Genomic DNA, 26792 nt, shown 5'->3' with positions numbered 1-26792 from the left:
GCCTCAAGGTAGACTAAGAAGCATGGAGGGGGGGGAGGCTGGAGGAGCTAGCCTGTGAGATGGGGGGCTAGAGAGCACCCACAGGGGACATCAGCATTTATTGGGGGAGGGAGGAAGAACAGGGAAAGTGAGGCACAGAGATTGGGTGGCCAAGGGGACAGTGTGGTGGGGTGAGCAGTGGAGCCATCAGGAAAAGCCCTGGGGTCAGGGAGGGTTTTGGTGGAAGCAGAGGGAACCTGGGCCTTGTTAGAATGTGAATGAGAAGGGCTGGAGGAGAAAAGGGCAGTTTGAAAGCAGCCGAGGGGGACATTTGAGGGAAAACTGACTGCACAGCAGACCAGGTGGCTTAGGTTGAGGAGAGTGGGGTACAGAGTTGAGCCCTCGAGCCTGTGCTGGTGTGGACTGTATGCAGGCGTGTGTGTTTGTGCATGCATGCACGAGTATGTGTGCATATGTGTGTGCACGTTGTGGTCATTGCCTTCTTAGCAGCTGGAATCCAGGAAGGCGGAGCTGATCCATGCATTTTGCTCAGGGTTTATACCAGCCTAGCAGCTGAGAGGGCCAGAAGGACAGGGAGAGGCATCTGAGCTGGGCAGTGAGGAGGTGGGGGCCAGAGAGGCCCAGTGGATGGGGAGGCGGGAGGTCAGGGGTGCACTAGCTAACTAGCTGGAAGAAGAGGCAGCTGTGCTCAGTGATCACCATGGCCATCTGCCAGGAATTGCTTGAGGGTTTTACATGGGTCATCTCACACTGCAAAATAGGTATTATTCTCTCTCTTTTATGGATGAGGAAATGGGACACAGCAAAGTTAAGTCACGTATGCTTGGTCACACAGCTAGTGCTGGAGCTGAGATTGTCCCTGCATCTGATGCCCCAGTAGGATGTGTGGATCTGGGAGGGGGCATTGAGGAGGATGGAGGAGAGAGGATTTGGGGAAGGAGACCAGGATAGGAAGTCACCCAATGTGGCTGGGCCTGGATCAGGGAGGAAGCCTGGCCTCAGAAACAGGGCCTTTGCTGAGTGTGGAGTGTGAAGTACCCGGGGTACACGTCTCCAGGAGCTGGTGAGGGGGACGGGTAGGAAAGGGGCGGTGGGCATCTGAGGTGAGGAGGCAGAGAAAGCAAGTCTGTCTCCTCTGAGGGTGTTTTGCTAAGCCCTGGGGTGCAGCAAGCACGGTGTGGAGTGATGACTTTGACTGTCCTTTCCCTGGGGACACACAAGAGCAGAGTGGTTTTGGTTGTTCGTGCCCACTGTACCCCCTTGGGGCCCTCTTTGATCTCCTCCTGACTGTGCATGTGCCCTGTGTCTTACAGAGGGGACCCGCAGGGCGGCATAATCAGAGGGCATTACAGAATCCTCCTGTGTAGCCCCTCCTGCACCCATCCCAGCCCAGTGCTGCTCCTGCATGGGTGTCACTGTTTGTGTGTGTTCATTCATTCACTCAATCCTGCATTCATTCACCAAGCACCTGCTCCATGTCCTGCCTTGTGCTGAGTGTTGGCCACACAGCCAGGAATCTTGCCCTGGAAGTGCTCATAGTCCAGACAAGGAGAGCCACTTGTGACCCAAGTCACACAACCAACCACGGGATGGATACCCTGAGGGAAGACAGGCAGGAGCTCAGAGGAGGGGACTTGGACACTAGGGCCCCGTGTGGGGAGGAAAGCTTGATAAGAACTACCGAGGTGCTAAAGGACAGGAAGGGTGTCCCAGGAGAGGGACCAGCATAGGCAAAGCTTGGAGATGAGAGTTGTGTGAGGCCCAGAGCATGGAGTGATGGAGGAGGCCAAAGAGGCAGGCAGGGGCCCGGTGATGGGGGACTGTAGATGTCAGACTGAGGAGCTTGGGCTTTGTCTTCAGGGCTGCAGAGACCGCAGGAGGGTTGAAGCAGGGGGGCGTGAGGCGTGTGTGAACAGAGGCTTGTGTGAGCTTCCTGTTCCCCGTGAGGGCCAGCGCCCATAGGCAGCCGGGATGTTAATTGCAATCTGTGCTCCGTTCTTGATAACTCACAGATAATTTAATTCTAGAAATTTTTCCAAGAACATAGTATCTTTAGTTGCCATTTCCCAGGGTTTAATAACCCCTTTTCTCCAGATTTATATAGGCTGCTGGAAAGTACTGTGCTTGCAAGCAGTTTTCCAACTTGGCCCAAGTATCCTCTGTGTTGGGCCAAGGTGTCCAGTGAGGGCCCAGATGAGATGTGAGGTTCAGACCGGGGCTGCCCACCCTGCCCCCGGAGTGATCACACCATTTGTTAAGAGAGTTGCTGTGAAGGAGCCTGACTGTGGGCGAGGGAAGACATCCTCCCTCCAACGGGCCTGTGGCCAAACCTTGACTAAACTCAGCCCTCCTGCCCCAGCTTTTTACCACATTCACAGCTAGACCCCATGGCCCCATGAGGATCACAGTGCCCCTTGCTAATGGTACAGCTGGAATGACAAATGTGGCTTAGACACAAGGCCCAGGTGGGGCTGCTTCCTTTACTCATATTGGGGACCAGCAGACATCATGACCCACCAGCCTCTCCAGGCAGAGAAAGGGTGAGAAACTTCTTCCCCAAAACTAGTCCCCAGGGCTTGCTGTGCTGTGTGACCGGGGGAAAGTCACTTTACCTTTCTGAAGCTTCTGTTTCCTCACCTGTACAATGGTGTTTAGGTGGGTGTCCCAGAGCAGAGCCTGAGAGGGGGATTAGTATACAGGTAATCTCCCAGGGGAGACTGCGTGGGAGGCCCTGCTGCTTGTGGCAGTAATGATGCCTGTCTTCCAAGGTGAGAAGTGTTCATTCATTCAATAATCTTATTGAGTACCCAGAATATGCCAGGCCATGTGCATGTTCTGGGTACAGAGCGGTGCATATTCTGGGACAGAGCAGTGAATGGGACCTGAGGTGAAGGCAGGCTGGATGGGGCAGTGGCAGGGGAAGCTGACCAAAGGCCCAGTGATATGTGTGGAAACTGAGGCTCAGAGCTGTGCTGGACCAGGGAGGGCCTCACGGACAGTGCCCTGGAAGGAACTTGGAACCAGGACCACAGAGGTGTGGGTGGTCTCAGAGTGGTGAGGCCCCACCCAGATCACGGAGTTCTGCCATCTGAGTGCCTGGAGCCGGCTGCAGGATGGAGCAGCAGTTGGTCTATCTTTGCAGGAGCTGGCTGGCCTGCAGCAGCTGCTGCTCTAATAGTCATTGCCTTACCATTTGTAGTGCATGGAATGGAGCAGAAAGGATGCCCTGAGTGTCTGTTTATGCTGTTTCTAAAAGAGCCCCTTAGATGCCAGGCTTGCTGAGCAACCAAGGAGAAATCTGTGGTCTCCAGCATTAGCCGGAGCCACTCCGAAGGGATGTTTTCAGGGTATACCAAGTCCATTTCTAGGAAAGCACTGAGGCTGCCTCCCTCAAGAAGCTCCGACCCTGACACCCTGGCTTCTGACATTCCTGTGTCTGAGGGCCCATGTGTGCATGCATCTGCGTGCTCCTCACACCACGTCTCTAACTGTGCATGTGTGTGTGCGTGTACATGTGCATGTGCTTGTGTGGCACATTTGTATGGTTGAACGTGTTACATGGGTCAAGATGTCATGTGTCCTCCTGTGTGTTAGTTTTTGACCATGTAACTATGTGTACGTGTGGCTGTGTGTGTCTGCACATCTCTGTGTGTGTCCATACAACGTAGGTCTGGGAATGTGGGCTCTATAAGCCTGAGGAGGGCACCATTCCTTCAGGCCGGGGTGGTCAGAGGAAGTACACCAAGAAGGGTGGGCTGGATTGGGCCCTGGAGAGTGGACATAAATTGGAGGGGGTGGAGGGTCTCCCCCCACCGCCACTGTCCTTCCCCCATTCTCAAAGCTTAGAGGGAGAAAGCTATTGAAATAGGTTTCAGCTCTGTACCAGGATGGACTTTCTAACAGGCGGCACCTTCCCCAGCAGACAGAAGGGATGAGGTTTCCATCCCCAAAGTGTGGGAGCAGAGGCTGGCCTGCCACTTGGTAATTGAGCTCAGTAAACATTCGCTGAAGCTCTGTATTCCATACCAGGGCTCGCATTGGACCCTGGGACACAGACATAATTCAGCTTGAGTTCCAGCCCTCAAGAAGATGGACCCATAAACTGCTGGTGGTAACCTGTAAGACTGGTTCTCCAAAGAAAAATACAAAACACAGTGACTGAGCCTTTGGTGTGCTAGGCTCTGTTCTGAGCACACTAACACTTTTGAGCTAGGTGCTGTTTTACAAATGACAGACTCAAGCCCAAGCAGTGAAGCAGCTTGCTTGACTGTGCCTGCAGCAAGCAGAGGCGCAGCTAGGATTGGAGCCTTCACCCCTGAGACAGGAGGCCTTGGGGCCACTGACCCTCCTCCCTTGCCCCAGCTCCAGGCAATGGGGTCAGCCAGAGCCAGAAAGAGGCATGTTTCTGTCCCCAGAGCTCATATGTGTCCAATAGGTTCCTGTGCCATCCTGCTGGCTCCTTGCCAGCCATTCTCTGAGAGCTCTCAGCACTGGGCTGTGTTATTAATCACCAAGGCCTGGAGGCTGCTGCAGTGCCTGCTGAGAATTTTAATCCACCAGGAATGTAAACGTCCCCTGACTGCACGGAGGCTGTTGGCCATGGTGCCACCTGATGTAGTTGCTCCTATGACAGGGCTGGAAAGAGTCTCCCCACTGCAGCCCAAAGGGAGGTGGGCAAACAGGTAGAGAGGACAGCTGGTGTCGTGGAAGGAGCACTGGATCAGGTGGATGGGGTGTCTGGGTCCTTGCCCTGCCAGTGACTGCGCTGATCTTTATTAATAGTAAAAATAAAAGTAGTAAATGCTCAGTGTTTCATACATGCCAGATACTGTGCTGCAATAGGATGAGCTCCCAATACCCACAGGGGAGGTGTCACCATTCTCATTTTACAGATGGAGAAATAAATGGAAGCTTAGAGAAGGAAAGATACTTGTCAGGGCAATGCTCTGGGAAGTGGAGACACCAGGATTTGCATAAGTACTATTTGGCCCCAGAGCCCTGACTCATGTTTAATTTTTTAATTATATCATATTTGATATATTCAAGAGAATACATGCAAATATGTGTAAGCAATAAAGCATAACAAAATGAACATCTGTGAATTCCTGGAACTACTGCCTATTTTCTGTTTAGTGTTCGCTGCTTTCTTTAACATGATTTCATCACACATATGTATCCTTAAACAATATATTGTTTGGTTTTGCTTGGTTTAAAGCTTTATAAAAATAGTCTCATACTGTATGTGGTCTCTGCAGTTTTTTCACTTAATATTATATTTTTAAGATTTTGGCCGGGCGTGGTGGCTCACGCCTGTAATCCCAGCACTTTAGGAGGCTGAGGCGGGCGGATCACGAGGTCAGGAGATCGAGACCATCCTGGCTAACACGGTGAAACCCCGTCTGTACTAAAAATACAAAAAAAATTAGCCGGGCATGGTGGCGGGCGCCTATAGTCCCAGCTACTTGGGAGGCTGAGGCAGGAGAATGGCATGAACCTGGGAGGTGGAGCTTGCAGCGAGCCCAGATCGTGCCACTGCACTCCAGACTGAGTGACAGAGTGAGACTCTGTCTCAAAAAAAAAAAATTTTTATCCATATTATTGTGTGCAGCTATAATTCATTCATTTTCACTACTGTATACTATTACATTCTGTGAATAACTCAAACTTTAATCATTCTCTTGTTGATGGACATTTGGGTTGTTTCAGTTTTCTGCTAGTACAAACAACGCTGCTGTGAATATTCTTGTTCATGTCTCTTTTTGAACCTATGGAACATTTTCACTAGAATGTGTGCCTAGAAATGAAATTGCTGGCTTAGGGAATGTATGAAAATGCCGGCTTGTTTTCAAAAGTGGTTGTTCCGCTTATACTCGCACCTACAGCATATTGAAGTCCTGTGGTTCTATGTCCTCAAAAATGTTATGTAACTATGCCAGTTTGGCAGGTGTGAAATGGCATCTCGTGGTCTTAATTTTCATTTTTAGCTGATTACTAATGAGGTTGAGCACTTTTCACAGTTTATAGGCCATTTGTGTTTCCTCTTCTGTAAAAGTCCTTTCACGTCCTCTGCCCATTTTTCTATTGGTTGTTTGTCTTTTTCTTATTGATTTATAGGAATTCTTGATATTTTCTGTCAGTTTGTGACTTAGCTTCACTTTCCTGATGGTATTTTTTTTTAGTAGAAGCTTTTCATTTTCATGAGTGGAATTTATCAATCTTTCCTTTTATTGTTTGTATTTTTGTGTCTGCAGTAAAATGTCCTTCTCTACCTTAATGCTACAGATAAATCCTCTGATAATGGGAGGGCTTATTTTACATTTTTACTTTCACATTTATTTTTAATCCATTGGAATTAGAGTATATGGTATGAGGTAGGAATCCAGTTTGATTTGTTTCCAGCTGGATATCCAGCTATTCTGGGAGCCGTTTGTTGGATTGCCTATCTTTTTACTAGTGATCTGCAAATCCAGTGATCTGTAGTGCCACTCTGTCATATATCAGAGACTCTGTATATCTATGAGCCTATTTCTGGGCACTTCTGTTCTATTACTGAGTTTTTCTACCCCTGCACCAATACCACAGCACATTAATTACCATAGTTTCATAAAAAGTTTTTGCTAGTATCTAGTAGAAAAGTCCATCCCCGCTATTTCCCACCCCAGTCTTGTTTTAGTGTTCCTTGGCTTTTCTTGGACTTTGCTCTTCCATATGTGTATTTTGGAATCAACTTTAAAATTTCCACGAAGCCAGGTGCAGTGGCTTACACTCGTAATACCAGCTACTTGTGAGACTGGGGTGGGAGGATTGTTTGAGGCCAGGAGTTTGAGACCAGTCTGGGCAACATAGTAAGACCCCCATCTCTAAACAATTTTTTTTTTTTTTAAATTAGCCAAGAATGGTGCTCGCCTGTAGTCCCAGTGACTTGGGAGGCTGAGGTAGGAAGATTGCTTGAGCCCAGGAGTTCAAGTCTTCAGTAAACTATCTATTATAAATACCAGTGCACTCCAGCCTGGGTGATGGAGTAAGATCTCAACTCAAATAATAAAAAAAGAAAGAGAGAAAGGAAAAAGAGGTCAGGGAGAGGGAGGGAAAGAAAGAAATTTCTATGGAAAACCTTGATTAGATTTTGATTGGAATTCCATTTACTCTATAGATCAATTTGGTTGGGGGGAACGGGAATAGGACCTCTTTATATGATTATTAATTCTTATTGTTCATAAACATGTTCTTTGTGACTTTCTACAGTGTTTTATATTTTTCTCTATATATGTATTATATATCTTTCTTTTAAAGATGTATTATAAGTCTTCTTATGCTTTTTGTTGTGATTGTGAATTTTATCTTTTTTAATTACTTTTTTATTTGTTCCTGGTGAATAGAAATAAAATCGCTTTTTAAATATTTATATTATACCCAGCCAACTTGCCAAATTCTCTTATTATTTCTATTCATTTTTGTGTAGATTCTTTTGATATTTCTATATAGACTTTCATAGATGTGAATAAAGAACATTTTATTCCTTTTCAATTTTTATACTTTGTTTTATCTTTTTCAGAAATAATGATAGTAGACCTCCTTGTCTTGCTCCTGATTTTAAATGCTTCCAATATTTTACCATTAAGTGTAATATCTCCTATAGGATTTTTATGGACTCTTTCTCTCAGATTAAAGGCTTTTTTAAAAAAAAAAATAGACTTTCTTTTTTAGAGCAGTTTTAGGTTCACGGCAAAACAGAGTGGAAGGTACATGGAGTTACCCTATACCCCTGCCCTCACACACGCAGCCTCCCCTGCTATCAACATCTCACACCAGAGTGGTGCATTTGTTACGATCAACGAACCTACATTGACACATCATTATCACCCAAAGTCCATAGTTTACATTAAGGTTCATTCTTGGTATTGTACATTCTGTGGATTTGGACAAAGGTATAATGACATGTATCTACCATTATAGGACCACACACAATAGTTTTTCTGCTCTAAAAGTCCTCTGTGTGCTGCCTGTTTATCCCTCCTTCCCTTGGCAACCACCGATGTTTTCACTGTCTCCTTAGTTTGTACTTTTTCAGAGTGTCATATGGTTGGAATCATACAGTATGTAGCCTTCTCAGATTGGCATATTTCATTTAGTAATATGCATTTAAGTTTCTTCCAGGTCTTTTTATAGCTCAATAGCTCATTCCTTTTCACTACTGAATAATATTCCATTGTCTAGATGCAACACAGTTTACTTACCCATTCACCTACTGTATTAGTCTGTTCTCACACTGCTATAAAGAACTACCTGAGACTGGGTAATTTATGAAGAAAAGAGGTTTAATTGACTCACAGAGCCACAGGCTTAACAGGAAGCGTGACTGGGAGAGCTCAGGAAATTTACACTTATGGTGTAAGGTGAAGGGGAAGCAAGCATGTCTTATCATGGTGGAGCAGGAGACAGAGAAGGGGGAGGTGCCACACACTTTTAAATGATTAGATCTTGTGAGGACTCACTCACTATCACAAGACAGGGGAAATCCGCCCATGATCCAATCACCTCCTACCAGGCCCCTTCCCTGATACCTGGGGATTACAATTTGAGATGAAATTTGGGTGGGGACACAGAGCCAAACCATATCATTCCACCCCTGCACCTCCCAAATCTCATGTCCTTCTCACATTTAAAAACCAATCACGCCTTCCCAATAGTCCCCCAAAGTCTTAACTAATTCCAGCGTTAACTCAAAAGTCTGAGTCCAAAGTCTCATCTGAGACAAGACAAGTCCCTCCCACCTACGAGCCTGTTAAATAAAAAATAAGTTTGTTACTTTCAATATACAATAGGGGCTACAGGCATTGGGTAAATTATCCCATTGAAAAAGGGAGAAATTGGTCAAAACAAAGGGGCTACAGGCCCCAGGCAAGTCCAAAACCCAATAGGGTAGTCATTAAATCTTAAAGCTCTGAAATAATCTCCTTTGACTCCATGTCTCACATCCAGGGCATGCTGATGTAAAGGGTGGGCTCTCAAGGCCTCAAGCAACTCCATCCCTGTGGCTCTGCAGAGTACAGCCCCCGCGGCTGCTTTCATGAGCTGGTGTTGAGTACCTGTGGCTTTCCCAGGCACATGGTGCAAGCTGTCAGTGGATCTCCATTCTGGGGTCTCCATTCTGTGGCCCTCTTCTCATAGGCCCAAGGGGGGCTCTGTGTGGGGGCTCCAACCCCACATTTCCCCTTTTCACTGCCTTAATAGAGGTTGTCCATGAAGGCTCTGCCCCTGTAGCAGACTTCTGCCTGGACATTCAGGCATTTCCATACGTCCTTTGAAATCTAGGAAGAGGTTCCCAAAGCTCACCTATTGTTTTCTGTGCACCTGCAGGCCCAACACCACGTGGAAGCCTCCAAGGCTTGGGGCTTGCACCCTCTGAAGCAATGACCTGACTTGTACCTTGGCCCCTTTTAGCCACAGCTGGGGCTAGGGCAGCTGAGATGCAGAACACCATGTCCTGAGGCTGTACAAAGCAGCAGGGCCCTGGGCCCAGCCCACGAAACCATTTTTTCCTCCTCAGCTTCTGGTCCTGTAATGGGAGGGGCTACTGTGAAGGTCTCTGATGTGCCCTGGAGATATTTTCCACATTGTCTTGGCTATTAACATTCGGCTCCTCTTATGCAAATTTCTGCAGCTGACTTGAATTTCTCCCCAGAAAATGGGCTTTTCTTTTCTACCACATGGTCAGGCTGCAAATTTTCCAAACATTTTATGCTCTGCTTCCCTTTTCAACATAAGTTCCAATTTTAGACCATCTCTTTGTAAATACATATGACTATATGCTGTTAGGAGTAGCCAGGCCACATCTTGAAAGCTTTGCTGCTTAGAAATTTCTTTCACCAAATGCCCTAAATCATCTCTTTCAAATTCAAAGTTCCACAGATCCCTAGAGCAGGGGAACAATGCCACCAGTTTCCTTGCTAAAGCATAACAAGAATGACCTTTGCTCCAGTTCCCAGAAATTTCCTCATCTCCATCTGAGACCATCTCAGCCTTGACTTCATTGTCCATATCACTATCAGCATTTTGGTCACAACTATTCAACAAGTCTCTAGGAAGTTCCGAACTTTCCCATATCTTCCTATCTTCTTCTGAGCCCTCCATATTGTTCCAACTTCTGCCTGTTACCCAGTTCCAAAGTTGTTTCCACATTTTCAGGTATCTTTATAGCAATGCCCCACTCCCAGTACCAATTTTCTGTATTAGTCTGTTTTCACACTGCTATAAAGAACTTCCTAAGACTGGATCATTTATGAAGAAAAGAGGTCTAATTGACCTACAGTTCTGCAGGCTTAACAGGAAGCATGATTGAGAGGCCTCAGGAAACTTGGAATCATGGCGGAAGGTGAAGGGGAAGCAAGCATGTCTTACCATGGTGGAGCAGGAAAGAGAGAGAGAAGGTGGAGGTGCCACACACTTTTAAACAATCAGATCTTGTGAGAACTCACTCACTATCATGAGAACAGCAAGGGGGAAATCTACCCCATGATCCAGTCACCTCCCACCAGGCCCTTCCCCCGAAATATGGGGATTATTTATTTAGTTCTTTGATTTCTTTAATCAGAGGTTTGTCATTTTCCTCATATAGATCTGGTAATATTTTGTTAGATTTATACCTAAGTACATCATTTTTAGGGGTGCTAATGTAAATGATACTGTGTTTGTTTTAAATTTCAAATTCTACTTGTTCATTGCTGATATATAGGAAAGTAACTTGATTTTTATATACTAACCTTGTATCTTGCAACCTTGCTATAATTGCTTATTAGTTCCAATAGGTTTTTTTCATCTCTTCTTTTGGATTTTCTACATATACTTTTATGTCATCTGTGAACAGTTTTATTTCTTCCTTCCTGATCTGTATATCTTTTGTCTCCTTTCCTTGACTTCCTTCCTTAGCTAGGACTTCCAGTATGATATTGAAAAGGAATGGTAAGAGGGGACATCTTGCCTTGTTCAAGACATTCCTTTTTATTCCTAACTTGCTAATAATTTTAGAATATATGTGCATTGAATTTTATCAAATGCTCTTTCTAAGTCTATTGAGGTTATCATAATTAAGCTATATAGCTTAACTACTTCAATTTGTATATGTAGTGAGTCAAATTTACAGACTTTACTAATGTCAAATACTTCTTACATTCTTGGGATCCACCCAACTTGGATATAATTTGTTCTCTTTTCTATACATCACTCAATTCAAAATTTTTTGTCTTTATTTATGAGTGATATTTGCCTGTGGTTCTCCTACTTTTATTATCTGATTTTGATATTGGGGTTTTATTGGTCTTATGGAGTGAGTTTGGGAGTATCCCTTTTTTTTTCTATTCCTTGAAGAATTTGTATAAGATTAGAATGATATGTTCTTTGAACATTTGGTAAACTTGCCTATAAAACTATCTTTGTGGAAAGATTTTAAACTACTGATCCAATTACTTTAATTGGCATAGAACTGTTAATGCTTTCTATTTCTTGGGAAGTTAGCCTGCCCCTACCAAGGAATTTGTCCATTTTGTATATGCTTTCAAATTTATTGCCATAAAACCAGTCATAGTGTTCTCTTATTTTTTAATCTTCACTGGATCTGTAGTTATGTTTCTCGTTTTATTCCTAATATTATTCCTTTTTTTGTGCCTTCTTTTTTAAAAAAAATTATTTCATCGGAGGTTTGTCTACTAGTCTTTTCAAGAACTAATTCCTGTCTTTTTGGTTCTATTTTATCTTCGTTTCTATGACATTAATTTCTGCTTTTATCTTTATTATCTCCTTCCTTTTACATTTTGTTTATTTTGCTGTCCCTTTTGTAATTTCTGAAATGGATCTCCTAGCACATTAATTTTCAGCCTTTTTTTCTAGCATAAACATTTGCAAAATAAATTTCCCTTTTAATGCCACTTTTACTGCATCTCAGAATTTTTGATGTGTAGTGTTGGCATTATAGTTCAGTTGCAATAAATTGTAAATAAGTATTGTAAATACCCATTATAATGTTTTGATTGATGCAGTGGGCCTTTAATTTTCCAAACATAGGAACATTTTTTGCCTTTATGTGATTGACTTCTAATTTAATTTTACTGTAATTGGAGAACATTATTTATATGATATTGGTCTTGTATATGGCAGTTTTTTGTAAATGTTGCATATGTACTTGAGAAAAATGTGCATATTCTGTTTTTGTTCAGTAGATCAAAAATCTTGTGTTATTCAAATTTTCTGTAATTTTATTATTTTTTTCTTTGTTTAATGTGTTAGTAATTGAAAGAAAGGTGTTGAAATTTACCACCAAGGTGGTAGGCTTTGCATTGCTAATATTATTATTAGGTTTCACTGCAACATGATTAGGTTTCTATAAAATGAAAACTTTTATTATTAGATAATCAATCTATCCCTAATAATGTTTTTGGTTTAAGTTCTATTTTATCTAATATTAATGTGGCTATACCAGCCTTGTTTTGAATAGTAATTGTATGGTATATCTTTTTCTACCCCTTAAACTTTTTTCTTATGTTTTAGGTATGTTTTTCCTTATGTTTAGATGTGTTTATTGTAATTAGCAAAAGGGAGGTTAATTTATTTTATGTCTTTAGTTCATGCTGACATGTTCTGTTTTAATTAGAATTTAGTCCATTTTCAATTTTAGTGATTACTAATGCATTTGGACATATTTCTGATATCTTACATTTTGCTTTCTACTTTGCTTTTTCCTATGCTTCCTTTTTTGCTTCCATGTTTTGGCTTAGTTTTGTTGTTGTTGCCGTTATTGTCTTTTATTTTGCTTTTTAGATTGATTAAAAAGCAAAATAAAATTGATTAATTCCTTTCTCTTAATGATTACCTATGAATTCTTAACCTAAAAGAGTCTGACATTAATACCTTAACTCCCTCCCCAACAATACAAGAACCTTAGGGCACTGCCTCTTAATCATTTCATCCAAACCTACATGCTTTTGTTGTACAGTGTTCTAGTTCTGGCCTTTCTTCAACCCCGTGCATTAGAGGGCATTACCATTTTATAAAACAGTGTGCGTTTAGCTCTACTTACATGTTTGTGAATTTATTTGCACATCATTAGTTTTTATACATTTTATACCTTTCTTCTGGGATCATCTTCCTTCTTCCTGAAGCTTATTCTTTAGAAATTCTTTGAGTAAGGTGCTCTTTCTTTCGTCCTCATTTTGAAAGATAGATAGAAGATGCCCACTTCTAGGTTGACAGTTATTTTCTTTCGGTGCTTTGAAAATATTATAACGTTGCCTCTGGCAATGGATTTTGTTTTGTTGTAGAGAAAACTGTCAGTCTCCGTCATTCTTTTATGGGTGTCTGTGTTTCCTGTCTATTGCTTTTAAGTTCTTCTACTTCTGTGATAGTCTGAATTTTCACTATTCTGTGAGTAAATGTGGATTTCTTTTATTTTTTTCCTCCTTGCAGCTCTGGAAAACTCCAAGCTGTTATCTCTTCAGATACTGCTTCCTGTCTATGCTGTCTTCTTTTTGAGACTTTGATTAAAGGTAGATTAGCCTTCTTATTCTGGCTGCTATATTTCTTATTTTCTAGCTGCTTGTCTTTCTGATCTGAAATCTGTGAAATTTCTTCAGTTCTTTCTTCTGGCTTACCTGTGTTTAATCTGCTGTTTGACTCATTTCAGTCAACATTTTTGAAAAATTAAAAATGTTTAAACAAAATTTTCAACAATTACATTTTTAATTTCTGGAAATTCTGTTGGTTCCTTTTCAAATCTGATTGGTGGTTTTGGACAGTCTCGTTACTTGCTAATGTTTTGTGATTGTGCCCTTTCACTCCTTACACATTTCACCCCTGTTAGTATATACTCCAAGTCTGATCATTTTAGCATTTGGAATCCTTGGAAGGTCCAGCGTTGTGGTTCATTGCTTCTGCAGAGCCTCCCTCTTCTTGCCTCATGTGTTTGGTCACCTTTGAGCATGAGACCACATGGCCAGGGTTTGTCTCTGGACACACTGGAGGCCTGAGTTGAGTACCTGCCCTTGGGGGAACCCCACCTTTCAGCCTAGTTCTGGCCTGGGATTTCTACTTCTGTTTCTCCCGTCCTCTGAGATTGTCCTTACCTCCTATAACCCAAGCAATGTGACAGAAGCTATATTTTATGCATAATCTGATTATTTTGCAGCAGAATGGCCCAGAAGCACAACCTCCGTTTCCTCATCTGTGAAATAGTCACCAATGATAGCTACTCTACACGTCATTGTAAAAATCATAGGAAATAATGTATGGCAGAGCACTGTAAAGTGTTATTTGAAGAATAACTACTAGATGATGATCTTTCACGGTGCTGAGTGCTTTGCATGCATCATTTCATTCGTGTCTCCCGCAGATCTGGCTCTGTCATCACCTCCATTGACAAATGAGGAAATCGAGGTTTCTAGTGGTTAAGATTCTTCTTTATCATCATTGTTCTAATAGTGTTGATACGGTTGGAGGAGGAAGATGAAATGAGAATATCTGGAGGTGTACCAGCACCTAAGGGGATGGGATGCCTGCCCCCGGGGCAGTGTGGTGCGATGTGGAGTGTGGGCTGGGACTCAGCTGAGAGGGTGGGGTTGCAGCTCTGACAGGCTCTTGCGAGGTGATGTTGAGCCAGTTCGGCTGTGGTCTGGGGTGCTAGTCTTTTAGGAGCAGGTGGGTGAGCTGTGGGTGTGGGAGTGCATTTCCACATGTCATGAGTCACCATGGAGGTGACCCTCGTTGTTTTCCCTGGTTGGGCTGCACTTCTCTGACATCTCAGTTTCATTCTGTGTCTCATCTCTGCACGGTGAAAATCTTGGTGTCCTGTTTCCTGTTTGCCACTCAGCTCCTTGAAAGCAGGCGCTGACTCTTACCTTTCTCCATGATCGTGCAGGAACCTCATCTGTAGCATCTTTGTAAGAAGAGATGGTCTGGCCTCTGCTCATTCATCTCTGGGAAGCTCACCCCTTCCCTCACTGTGGTGTTCTGGCATCATCCCAAATTCAGACGCCCTGTTGCATTGCCCCCTTAACCGTGCATGCACTTATTCCTGGCAGACAGATCACTGGTTTGGTGAAGATGGTCTCTGTAACCCCATCTGCCCCCAGGTCCTCTTTTCATGGGTAACATGGGAAGACGTTGAAACCGAGCTGCGCTGGGTTCACACTGTGGGTTCACCACTTGCTGGCTCTGTGGACAAATGAGCCTGTCTCACCACCTCTGAGACGGGAATAGTGAAGCCAGCCTCCCGAGGGTGTGGAGAGATTCATATGCTCTAGGTGCGTGGTGAGGGGGGAGTTCCTTGCAGTTTCTCTGGACACCCTCTGGACCTGCCCTGTTTGCCGGCATGTTTTCCCCAACCAGAGCACCTTGGCTCCCATGGGCCAAAGCTTCCTTGGCTTCACACCTCGGGATGACTCTCCATGAACTGCTGGGCCCACTGGCTCTTCGACCTCTGCCAAACCCAGCATGTTCTGAGCTTCCTGAGTGAGTGCAGCCAGCCCCCACCCCAGGCCAGTGCTCTGGATTTTGTATGGCCAGGGAGCAGCTGCCAGTCCAGCTGTTTACCTTGGGAACCTGGTCTCTTCTCCGGCAGTGTTTGCCAGCCACAGAGCGAGGGCAGATTTATGAACTGAGTTACACAGAAATTATTTAAGGCCCTGGTCCGCCAACAATAATGTAAAGACATACAGTGCCTGTTTGAAAAAAGATTGCCCACACTTTGGTCTGATTTACAGTGTAGGCTGAGGATCCAATTAGCAGTCACAGCAGTCTTTTAGCTGAAACCCAGCGCCTTCCAGGATTATGCAGACTTTCCAGGTCCTGGGCTATGATGAAATTATAGCTGGAGGCTTGTAAAGTCGTGCACTGTTTATAAATGCAATATATTCTTAACTTCCCTGCTGCTTGGCTTCCCTGAATCCTGGAGCTCTCCCACTTACCGTGTAACCTTACACAAGTGGTGTAGCCTCTCTGAGCCTCAATTTCTTCATCTCTGACTTGGCCAGTGGGGTGGAATGGGACTAGGGAAGAGTAGTGGACACTCTGCCTGTGGGAATCAAACAGATGAGTCAATGTCTGTAGAGAAGCCATCCCAATCCCAATGCCTGGCACACAGTAGGGGCTCGGTCCTGGGGGCACACAGTAGGGGCTTGGTCCCGGAGCGCACATTGGAGATCCTGAAGGGAGCGGACATCCAGTGTGGGCCCGGCCTCCTCTCTGGAGCTCTGCCTGGCTGCCTGGCTGTGGGCAGGGCGGGGTGGGATACCAGTGGCAGGGCAGGATGGGGCAGGAAAAAGTGTGGTGTATTGCCCCTTCAGGTGGCAAGGCCTGGGGTACTGAGGTATGGGTGGAGTCCAAGGACTCATCGCCACTGTCGTGGGCCACTTCTGAGGCATCCACTGAGCAGACCATGGCAGAGGTCTTCTTAAAGCACCTACTGTGAGCATGGCTGCCCCAGTGCCTAGAACATTGCGGGACACACGGCCCGCAACAAGTGTTTGCCAAAGGCAGTGCAAAGCCAGTGATGCCAACAGGACCTGGGGTCCACCAGCCAAATAGGGGCCTGTCTTCAGTCTCACCTATAGCCCGCTCTGCCCTCCCGACCACAGCCTCCACTCTCCCTGGAAGGTACGAAGGGTTAACTGGTGGGCACCAGGGGGAAACAGATATTTGCTCCGTGTGTGGACCAGATATCTCCCGACCGGAACTGTCCGTCTGCCAGTGGAACCCCTGCCCTTGCAAACAGGGAGCGAGCTCCTGCCTGACTCGTGAGGCCCAGGTGGGTGTTACTGGGTTGGGCACTCAGTTGCTGGGCAGGGGCAGGCCCAGCAACCCCTAGGGCTCCTTGTCTTCCCTCAGTGCTGGGACAGAGATGAGTCAACACAGCTGCTGCCCCCAGGTCTGGGCAAAGCTGGCTCTTCTTTGTCTGTCTTCGCTGGTGAGCTCTACAGGCCACTCCAGCTTCGTATTGGATTCATTTCTGTATCTTCATCAAGGAGGCAGTCCCTGCCCACAGCAGAGTCCTGGTTAGAAATTCCTTATGTTGTGTGTGTGCTTCATCCTGCTAGGCATGCAGCTGTGGGAGTCTACGGGCCTCTAATCCTGCCTGGGAAGTCAGGGAGCACTTCCCAGAGGAGGAAGCACTTGAGTTGGACCTTGAAGGATAAGTTAGCCAAGGTGGAGAAAGACCATCTAGGAGAGGGAACACTGTGGGCAGAGGTAGGGGGCTGTGTGTGTGTGAGCATATGTGTACAGGTGAGAGACTATGTAGATGACTGTGTGTGTGTGTATATGTGTGATAGAGTGTGTGTATATGACTGGGGGGGATGTAGATGAGTGTGTACCTGACAGTGAGTGTGTGTGGATGAGGGTGAGTGCCTGTGTGTGTCAGAGAGAAACAGAGCTCCCTCCCGTGCATGGCGGGTGGCTGGCTGCAGGGCTGAGGCCAGGGGGTGCAGGGCGTGTGGGGGAGGATGAGCTGCAACAGAGGCTCGCAGGGGCTCAGGACCAGGCTCTGTCCCGCATTGCAGCGGCTGGGCTCGACCCTGAGGGGGAGCAGAGCCGCATGGTGAGTGAGTGATGGGAGGGGCTAGCCAGTGCTGGACATCAGCAGGAGTTCGCCAATCATCATCCCAGCCTGAGGTCGCCTGGCAGGATCAGGGCAGGGGCCGAGCAGGCTCGGAAGGATGGGCACGAGGGCTGAGGGACTGACCACAGTGGAGGGAGGAAGGAGAGGTGAAGGCCAGGACCCAGGATCCTTCCATCTCAGAGTCCAAAACCCCGGGACAGTGCTGGGATTGAACGAGTGGCCCAGTGGGATTGTAGCCTGAGGTCCTCTCTCCAGTCCACCAAGCCAGGAGGCCCTGGTGCCTTCCACTCTTTGCCAGGTCAGGGTCTGAGGAAGGATGAGTGCAGCCAAGAAACACTTGGTCCCTGTCCCCAGAGAAGCCAAAGTCCCCAAAACAGGGTTTATACAAAATGATAGCGGCCACAAAGCCCCCTGCATTCTGAGTTACTGTTTTTAAGAAGTCCCAGGGCTCCAGGGCCCACAAAGCATCCCAGGCCTTTCTCACACTGGGTCTGAGTCTTACCTCTGCTACCACAAACACTCATCAGTTTGGGATTTGTATCTTTCCTGGTTTTTGGTTTCTGGGACAGCACAGGCAAGTCTAGGACTGCTGTCTGCCTTCCAGATGTTTTAACCTTCAGCATCTAGAGCACCACGATCACAGGAGGCAGGTGTTTGCTCGCTAAGCTCTGGTTTGTTTCTGGCCACATCTGAGCAGAGTCTACATGGTCCAGGATAGGTGAGCACAGATCAAGGGTATTCAACACGTGTCGGGGCCTGAATGGAGCAGGGTGAATGGTGCAGGGTAAATGTCCCAGCCAGAGGGGAAGGTGGCATTTATTAATTCATTCATTCACTCACTCAGCTTTTGCTAAAAGCTCCTCTGGGCCAGGCCATGGGCAGGTGCTGGGCACTGTGGCATGAATGGGACACCCTGCTTGACCTTGGGACACCCTGCTTGCCCCAGTCTAGTGGGGAAGCCAGACACTGGAGAAGGGCAGTGGACACATGAGCTGGCCCTGAGAGAGTGAGATCGTTAGGGGGAGGCATGGGAAGAGTGTGAACAAAGGCGCATCATGTTCAAGAATGGCTGGAAGTCTGCTGGGGTGGAGTATAGGGCCCAGGGTGGAAAGCAGCAGAGCAGCGACTGGAAAGGTTGCCCAGGGCAGAGGTTTGAATGCACACAGAGGAACCGGGGCCTTATCTTAGAGATCCATGAAAAGTGACAGTGAGGCCTCCATAGGCCCTCATCGAAAGATCGCTTTGATAGTAAGTGGCAGAGCAGGGGACTAAAGCCCTGGGCTGACTCTCAGCATGACCCTTGGCCTGCCTGGAGAGGTCCTTAAGTTACTCTTCCTGCATCGGGCCCTTTGTGTCCCTCTGTGGCAGCCACCCCACCTGCGTGCTGTTGCACCTCCGAGGGCAGGCTCTTGGTCACATTGTTTGCACGTTGCGTGTGTTTGACAGTGTGCCCTTCCAGCCTGAGGGGCAGTACCCACTGCAGGGCTGGGCACTGCCAGCCCCTCCAGACCTCATCTCTCATCATCCAGAGCCTGCTTCCCGATCTAATTAGTGACTCCACCATCCTGCTTTGATTTGGGGCTCCCCTAATGATGTTTGATTGGCAGCAACTGGAGTCAATCCTAAACTCATGCAAAAGGGAAGATTATTTATGTGTTTTCTGCTTTTCTGTTAACAATGACTTCAGAGGGGCATATGGAATGGATAAAGGATTATTTAGAAATCAGAAATTTTCAAGAGACTGGAAACAACTTGATAAAAACCATTTAGGTACTATAACGTGCTTCATTTAAAAGAAGATATATATTTACCCAGTCTGTCTGATTTTACAGGAAGTGAATTAGGAGAGGTATTCAGAAATGTAATTGGAGTGACAAGATATTTCTTGGTAGCTGCTCAACGACACCATGTGAGCTGCCCTGTGCGTCTGTTTCAAGGCCTACCTGATGAGGTCAGGGGGCCAGGCTCTTCCCCAGCCGGCCTCAGCCACAGGGCATGGCTGCTCTGCATCTGGGTACCTGCTGCTGCCCTTGCCGCCATTTCTACAGACCTCCAAGAGGCTTTCTGGACACTTCCTCACCTCCTTACATCCATCTAGCCAGTCACCAAGGGCTGATGACCCAGTCTCCTAAACCTTCCTCTAGAGGCAGACTGCTTGAGTCAAATCCCAATTGCTATGACTATCTGAGTGACCATGGCCAAGTTGCACAATGCTCCATGCCTCAGTTTCTTTATCTGCAAAATAGGGATTATGATAATAATGCCTACCACTGGAGCTGTCCTGGGGCCTTTATGATACTATGGACAAAGTGTCCAGGATGTTCAGCAAATAAGTCCTGAGTGTGGGTGAATGGACACACTTCATTCCAGTCCCAGCCATGGCTGTGGGCTCATTCTGGTGTTTCGGGAGGTGAGAGGGTCTGGGGATGCTGGCCTGGTGCTGCTTATGTCCCATGCACACACCTTGAAGTATACCTGCACACACATATGCTCACCTGCAGTGTACCTGAACACACTCACACACATACCTGTAGTAAACCTGCACACACACACTCACCTGTAGTACACACGAACACACACATCTGCACACACACACCTGCAGTATGCCTGCACACACACACACATACCTGCAGTACACCTGCACACACACACACATACCTGCAGTACACCTGCACACACACATCTGCATACACACACCTGCAGTATACCTGCACACACACACATGCTGCAGTACACCTGCACACACACACCTGCAGTATACCTGCACACATACACACATACCTGCAGTATGCCTGCACACAAACAAGTATCTGCGCACACACACACCTCCAGTACACCTGCACACAAACATCTGCAGTACACCTGCACACACACACACATACTTACAGTACACCTGCATACACACACATACCTACAGTACACCTGCATACACAAACACATACCTGCAGTACACCTGCACACACACACAAACCTACAGTACACCTGCATACACACACCCCTGCAGTACACCTGCACACACACACACCTGCAGTACACCTGCACACACATCTGCAGTACACCACACACACACCTGCAGTACACCTGCACGCACACACCTGCAGTACACCTGCATACACACACCTGCAGTACACCTGCACACACATACCTACAGTACACCTGCACACACACACACACCTGCAGTACACCTGCACAGACACATCTGCATACACACACCTGCAGTATGCCTGCACACACACACCTGCAGTACACCTGCACACACACACATACCTACAGTACACCTGCACACACACACACCTGCAGTACACCTGCACACACACACACACCTACAGTACACCTGCATACACACACACCTGCAATACACCTGCACACACACACAAACCTACAGTACACCTGCATACACACACACAGCTGCAGTACACCACACACACACACAAACCTACAGTATACCTGCATACACACACACACCTGCAGTACACCTGCACACACAAACCTACAGTATACCTGCATACACACACACACACACACACCTGCAATACACCTGCACACACACACACCTGCAGTATACCTGCACACACACACACCTGCAGTATACCTGCACACACACATACCTGCAGTACACCTGCACACACACCTGCAATACACCGCACACACACACCTGCAGTACACCTGCACACACACACCTGCAGTACACCTGCACACACATACCTACAGTACACCTGCACACACACACACCTGCAGTACACCTGCATACACACACCTGCAGTACACCTGCACACACATACCTACAGTACACCTGCACACACACACCTGCAGTACACCTGCATACACACACACAATTTTTATTTCTTAATTTTTAATTTTTGTACGTACATAGTAGGTGTATATATGGGTTACATGAGCTATTTTGATACAGGCATGTAATGTGTAGTAATCACACCAGGGGAAATGGGGTGTCCATTACCTCAAGCATTTATCCTTTGTGTTACAAACAATCCAAATATGCATTTTGTTTTTGTTTTTGTTTTTGTTTTTTTGAGACAGAGTCTCACTCTATCTCCCAGGCTGGAGTGTAGTGGCGCGATCTTGGCTCACCGTAACCTCTGCCTCCCGGGTTCAGGTGATTCTCCTGCCTCAGCCTCCCGAGTAGCTGGGACTGCAGGCGCCCACCACCGCGCCCAGCTAATTTTTTGTATTTTTAGTACTGACAGAGTTTCACTGTGTTAGCCAGGATGGTCTCGATCTCCTGACCTCGTGATCCGCCCGCCTCGGCCTCCCAAAGTGCTAGGCAATTATGCTCTTATAGTGGTCTCTTAAAAGCATGAGCTGATGGTGGCACATCTCTCTCAGCAGCCTTCAGAGCCACAAACAAGGTATAAGAGAATTTCCAGAACCAGAGTGGCCTGATAGGTTGCTTTACAGGTAAGGGAGCGGCGATGTCGCCTGAGTGGGGAGATGGGTTACCCGTCTTTAGATCTGAGAGTGCATGGGGTTCTTTCTGAAACATGCCAGTCCCGTGGGTCCCTGAGCCTAGGGAAGCTGCCCAGGTCTGCCCAGGGAGACAGTTTTGGGGTTTCCAGGGACCTGCCAGTCCCCCTCAGATACCCAAGTGCCCTGCCCTACCTGTGAGGCCCTTTCCTTTCTGTGCCCCAGAGAATGGCTCCACACCTCACACGCCCTGATGGAGCTTAGGAGGAGGACAGTGTCCTTCAGAAGTGGCCTCAGCAGGGACAGGGGGTGTGTCGAGGGCAGGGCAGCTGTTCTGAGCCCCACAGTGGCTCTCAGGGGAATGTGCCCCAGCCTGTCAGACCCGGCTGTGGGGGCCCAATGATGGGCACGTTCCAGGTCAGGCTTGGTGGGGCCTGTGTTGCTGTCCCTGCTGTGACCCCCATCCACACCACACCCTTCTCCAGTGCCCTGTTGCCCTGGGGGGGCAATATGGACTCAGGGCTCCAACCTGAGTCCATATTGGTTAGCACTGATGAGCCTCCGGACTAGTCCTGTAGTGCCCTACTTGAGTCAAATCCTGGCTCCTCCTCAGATGTGCTGTGTGACTTCAGGCATGCCACTTCCTTTCTCTGAGCTTTGGTTCTAATTTTATAAGCTAACCTATGTGAATAGCCGGGCACTGTGCCTGGCCCCAACTGCCTGCCATGACCTCAGTTACCACACATCACCCCCTAGGGCTGTGGTGGGGTTGGTGGGGCCATCTGGATACCCTGAAGGAAGGACTTGGATTCAGGCTGTCTCTACTCGTGACTCATTGTGTGACCTCACATGGTCGTCCTGCCTCTCTGTGCCTCTGTCCCCTCCTCTGTCAAGAGGAGGTTGTCATGAGTGCCCTGTCTCCGTTGTTTGGGGGATGCTTAGATGAGAGAGCAGATGGGAAAGTCCCTTGAGGGCCAGGTGACAGAAGGGGCTGTGGTCAGGAGTAATGGGTGCCATCTTGTGGCCTCATGGCTGCAGGATGGCATTCTCTGCACTGAGAGGTGGCCCTGGCGAGGGGCCTGGAGCCAGAGTTTAGGGAGGCCTAGTGTCCTCTTCTCCATTTAGGGACACCCAGGAGGCTGTTGAGGCTGACACTGCTCCATCTTAGGGAGCCCTGTCCCCCAGAACCTCCAGACAAATCCTCCCGCTGGTCAGCAAGGCACACTGTCTGAGCTGCAGCACCCCCACCTCTCCAGAGCCCCTGGCCATCCTCCACCTGCCCGTTCTGCTCCAGCCACACAGGCCTCCTTGCTCTGTCTCTTTTCCCACCACAAGGCCTTTACATGGACTATTCCCTTTATCCAAAATTCTCCGTCCCTAAAGCTTAGGGGTAGCTCCTGAGAAGGATGAGAATCCTTGATTTCTCTGCTTGAATGCCAGCTCTTCAGAGAGGCCTTCCCTGACCACCTGCAAGTCGCAAAGGCCCCTCCCCACCAGTACTCCCTGCCATACCACAAGGTCAGGCGTTTTTTCCTATTGCACTTAGACGGTCTGACATTGTCTTACTCATTTGCTTACTTGGTTGCTGTCTGTGTCAACCCACCGGCAGGTGAGCTGTGCAAGCACCAAGACCACATGTGTCTTGCTCACCACTGTGTCACCAGCAGCTAGAATGATGCTTAGCTTCTTGGAGGCATTTGAGAAATAGTTTATGGATGGTGGATGGGTGGGTGGATGGGTCCTGGTGGTATGGATAGGTGGATGAATGGATGAATGGAGAATAGGTAAAGCTTTTTTTTTTCTCATGAGGGAGAGCAGCTCTCAGCAGGTATGCGAACCAAGACTGGGTGCACCTGGGCAGGGCACCATGGAGTGGATTCCTGTGCTGGGGAAGCTTGGATGGAATAACCCCACAAACTTCTCCAGCCCCGAGGCTGCGCTTTCCAGGTTTATCCTGGTTTTGAAGCACAATGTGTGCTCGCCAAGGCTGATGGGGATGGGGTTCATCTACATCTTCCGGACGAGCCATTCTCAGCCAGCCAGGTGGGACAGGGGTATCTTTAGAAAGGCAAGGAAGGCTGGTGATCCCAGCCAGAGCTGAAACATCAGCTATGCACCTGACACAGTTAGTCCTGCCACCAGCTGATTCCTGGAGCACGTGAGTAATTCCTGTGCCTCTAACTCCATCTCCTCATTGGTCAGATGGAGATAGCTCCACTTGCTGCCTCCCAGGGTTGCTAAATGTTTAAATGGGCTGATTTCATGGGAGTCTCCTTTTCTGTCACTGAGGTAGTTAGTCTCTGCCTGCCCAACTCCCTCTTCCAGGGCCGATGACAAAAATAAAAACAGAAGAACTCTCAGAGAGATTGTCTCATGTGGGGCTGCCAGCCCGTGGTCCAGCTGGATCCTCCTCTGGCCCCTCAGCCTCTAAGTGGGATGGAGGAGCCCTGGGGAGCCATCTGTGGGCACGAGCCGATTCAGCTGGGAGGATGGATGGTGGAGGGCAAGTGTTTCTATTAGGCCACGGGAATGTTTGCTTTTCTTCTCCAAGAACTGGTTGTGGTCATGTAAATCACCCCAGAGGAAAACCAGAGGGTCCCCAAATGCATCTGTTGGTTTTTATTTAAAAAGACAAAGACAACAATCTTTGTGGTTGGCTTAAAAGTATTTTCATCATCAATGAGCAGGGGAAGAATAAACCCCTGGGGCAGGCAGGAATGTGGGAAGGGAGACCTGAGAAGGAAGGCCTGGCGGGAGCTGGCTGTCTGCCTGCCACCTGGGCCATGCTGTGTAGAGCTGGCCCAGGCACAGGAGCAGCGGGGGGCCTTGTGAGGGCTCTCAGGGACCCGCCTGGTCCCCCTCCTACCGGGACACACTTTCCACCTATAGCAGCTTAGGGTTGGGGTGTGTGGTGAGGCCTGGGAGCTGGTAGGGGAGAGGCTAGGGGACTTGCATCTTTGGGCTTTGGCGGGGCTTCTGTGACAGTCAGTGTGTGTGTGGTTGAATGTATCTGGGCATGTGTTAAGCTTTGGGGGTGATTAGAGGGAGTGGGTATGTGTGTTTATGTGACTGGATCTGGGGGATGCTGTTTGCAGTATGTTGGGATGTGTATGGTTGCAGAGTTTGTTTGGGGGTGTGATTGGGGAGTGTTTGGTTGGGAAGTTTTCTGGTTGGGTGCAAGAGTGTGGGTGGGTGAATATGGAGTGCTTCTGCAGTTAGGTACATGTATGTCGAAGTGTGGAGAAGGAGTATATGGCAGAGACAGACATATACACAGGAGGAGGGATGGGTTTGTGCAGAGGCCCAGAGGCAGGAACCACCGGGTACATCCAGGGAAGGCGGTGGGCACAGAGGGCAGAGGAGAGCAGGGTTTGAGCCCTGACACAGGGGCCTTGAATGGCAGGCAGAGGGAGGGCAGAGGTGGGAGCAGGCTAGACTACAGAGCTCACAATTGGGAGTGCCCTCACCGGGGAGGGACTGCCAGCATGCTCTGCAGAGCACTCTGAGGGGCCCTGAGAAAGGCAGCCCCTTCGCGGGGCTTCTTGTTGGTTCCCCAGGACTCTAAGCCCCAGGGCTCTAAGCAACCGACCTGACGTTTTCCCAGAAGCCCAAGGAGGCATCAGGACAGAGGTGGTTACCCTGTTTGGTGAGAGGAAGGGAGTGGTCTGAGACCCACAGTTCTGCAGAGGCTGAGGGACCCCCCTTGCCCTGCAATTATCCCTCCTCTGCATAAGGCCTCCATCCCGGGCATGGGTGCAGGGTGCAGATGGGCCACCACAGTTTCCAGGCCTCACAACAACCCTGAGAGGCAGGTGTTTTAAATTTCTTTGTATAAATGTGGCATAATCATATGTTAGAAATTTGGCAAACCAGAAAAAGAGAACAGAGGACTTCAAACCACCGTGGCGGGATGTTTTCCTTTGGCTCCTCTCTTAGCACAATGCCGGGCACATAGTGAGGGCTCAACACGGGGGATCCTTTAAAAAATCACTGGCCGGGCGCAGTGGCTCACGCCTGTAATCCCAGCACCTTGGGAGGCCAAGGTGGGCGGATTACCTGAGGTCAGGAGTTCAAAACCGGCCTAACATGGTGAAACCCCATCTCTACTAAAAATATAAATATTAGCCAGGTGTGTTGGCGGGCGCCTGTAATCCCAGCTACTTGGAAGGCTGAGGCAGGAGAATCACTTGAACCCGGGAGGCAGAGGTTGCAGTGAGCCGAGATCGCGCCATTGCACTCCAGCCTGGGCACAGAGCAAGACTCTGTCTCAAAAAAAATAAATAAATAAAAATAAAAATTGCTGGGATTTTGGAGTGGGGAGCGTCTGAACCTGTCACCCCTCGTCTTGGATGAAGCACCTCACTTCTCTGTGCCTCATGTTCCCTGTGGAGTTGTTGAGAGGACTGTTAATATTCATGTTGGTGGTTTTAGCATTATGACTAAGAAATCTGCCATTGCGCCATGGTACTTGATAATTGTGGTTTCACAGCAGTATGGTCATCCAGTGTGGGGACTGTGGCACTGTTCACTCAGCTTTTCCCCGACTGTGGGACTTATCTTCCGCCACTCATAGTTCATAATGCCAATATTTTATCATCTTCTTGCATAAAACTAGTCTGACCTCCAGCCTCAGCCTTGGGTAGGAGCCCAGAATGGAGATGTCAAAGGGCAGTTTGAACCTAACTCAGTGTGAGTGTGTGTTCGCTCTACGCACTGTCATGTCTAACCCTCCCAGCCCTGGGGCAAGCCTCCCCCAGAGGCCTCT

The 26792-nt window shown here is 47.8% G+C and overlaps 1 protein-coding gene across 10 annotated transcripts in view, besides 1 other annotated feature; it reads left to right on the top strand.

Moving 5' to 3' along the window:
* Positions 1–26792, top strand: part of GLIS1 (GLIS family zinc finger 1) — a 232926-nt gene that overhangs the window by 161999 nt on the left and 44135 nt on the right. The window lies entirely within an intron of this gene.
* Positions 31–660: an enhancer, noted in NCBI's record as "H3K4me1 hESC enhancer chr1:54042179-54042808 (GRCh37/hg19 assembly coordinates)". NCBI's record gives its function as "activates a minimal SCP1, AML or CMV promoter by ChIP-STARR-seq in naive H9 embryonic stem cells {active_cell/tissue: H9 hESC(naive)}" and the evidence as "EXISTENCE:reporter gene assay evidence [ECO:0000049][PMID:30033119]".

This window comes from Homo sapiens, chromosome 1, assembly GCF_000001405.40.
Source record: "Homo sapiens chromosome 1, GRCh38.p14 Primary Assembly".
NCBI classification, from domain to species: domain Eukaryota; kingdom Metazoa; phylum Chordata; class Mammalia; order Primates; family Hominidae; genus Homo; species Homo sapiens.
This window is presented reverse-complemented; position numbering and strand designations above follow the sequence as displayed.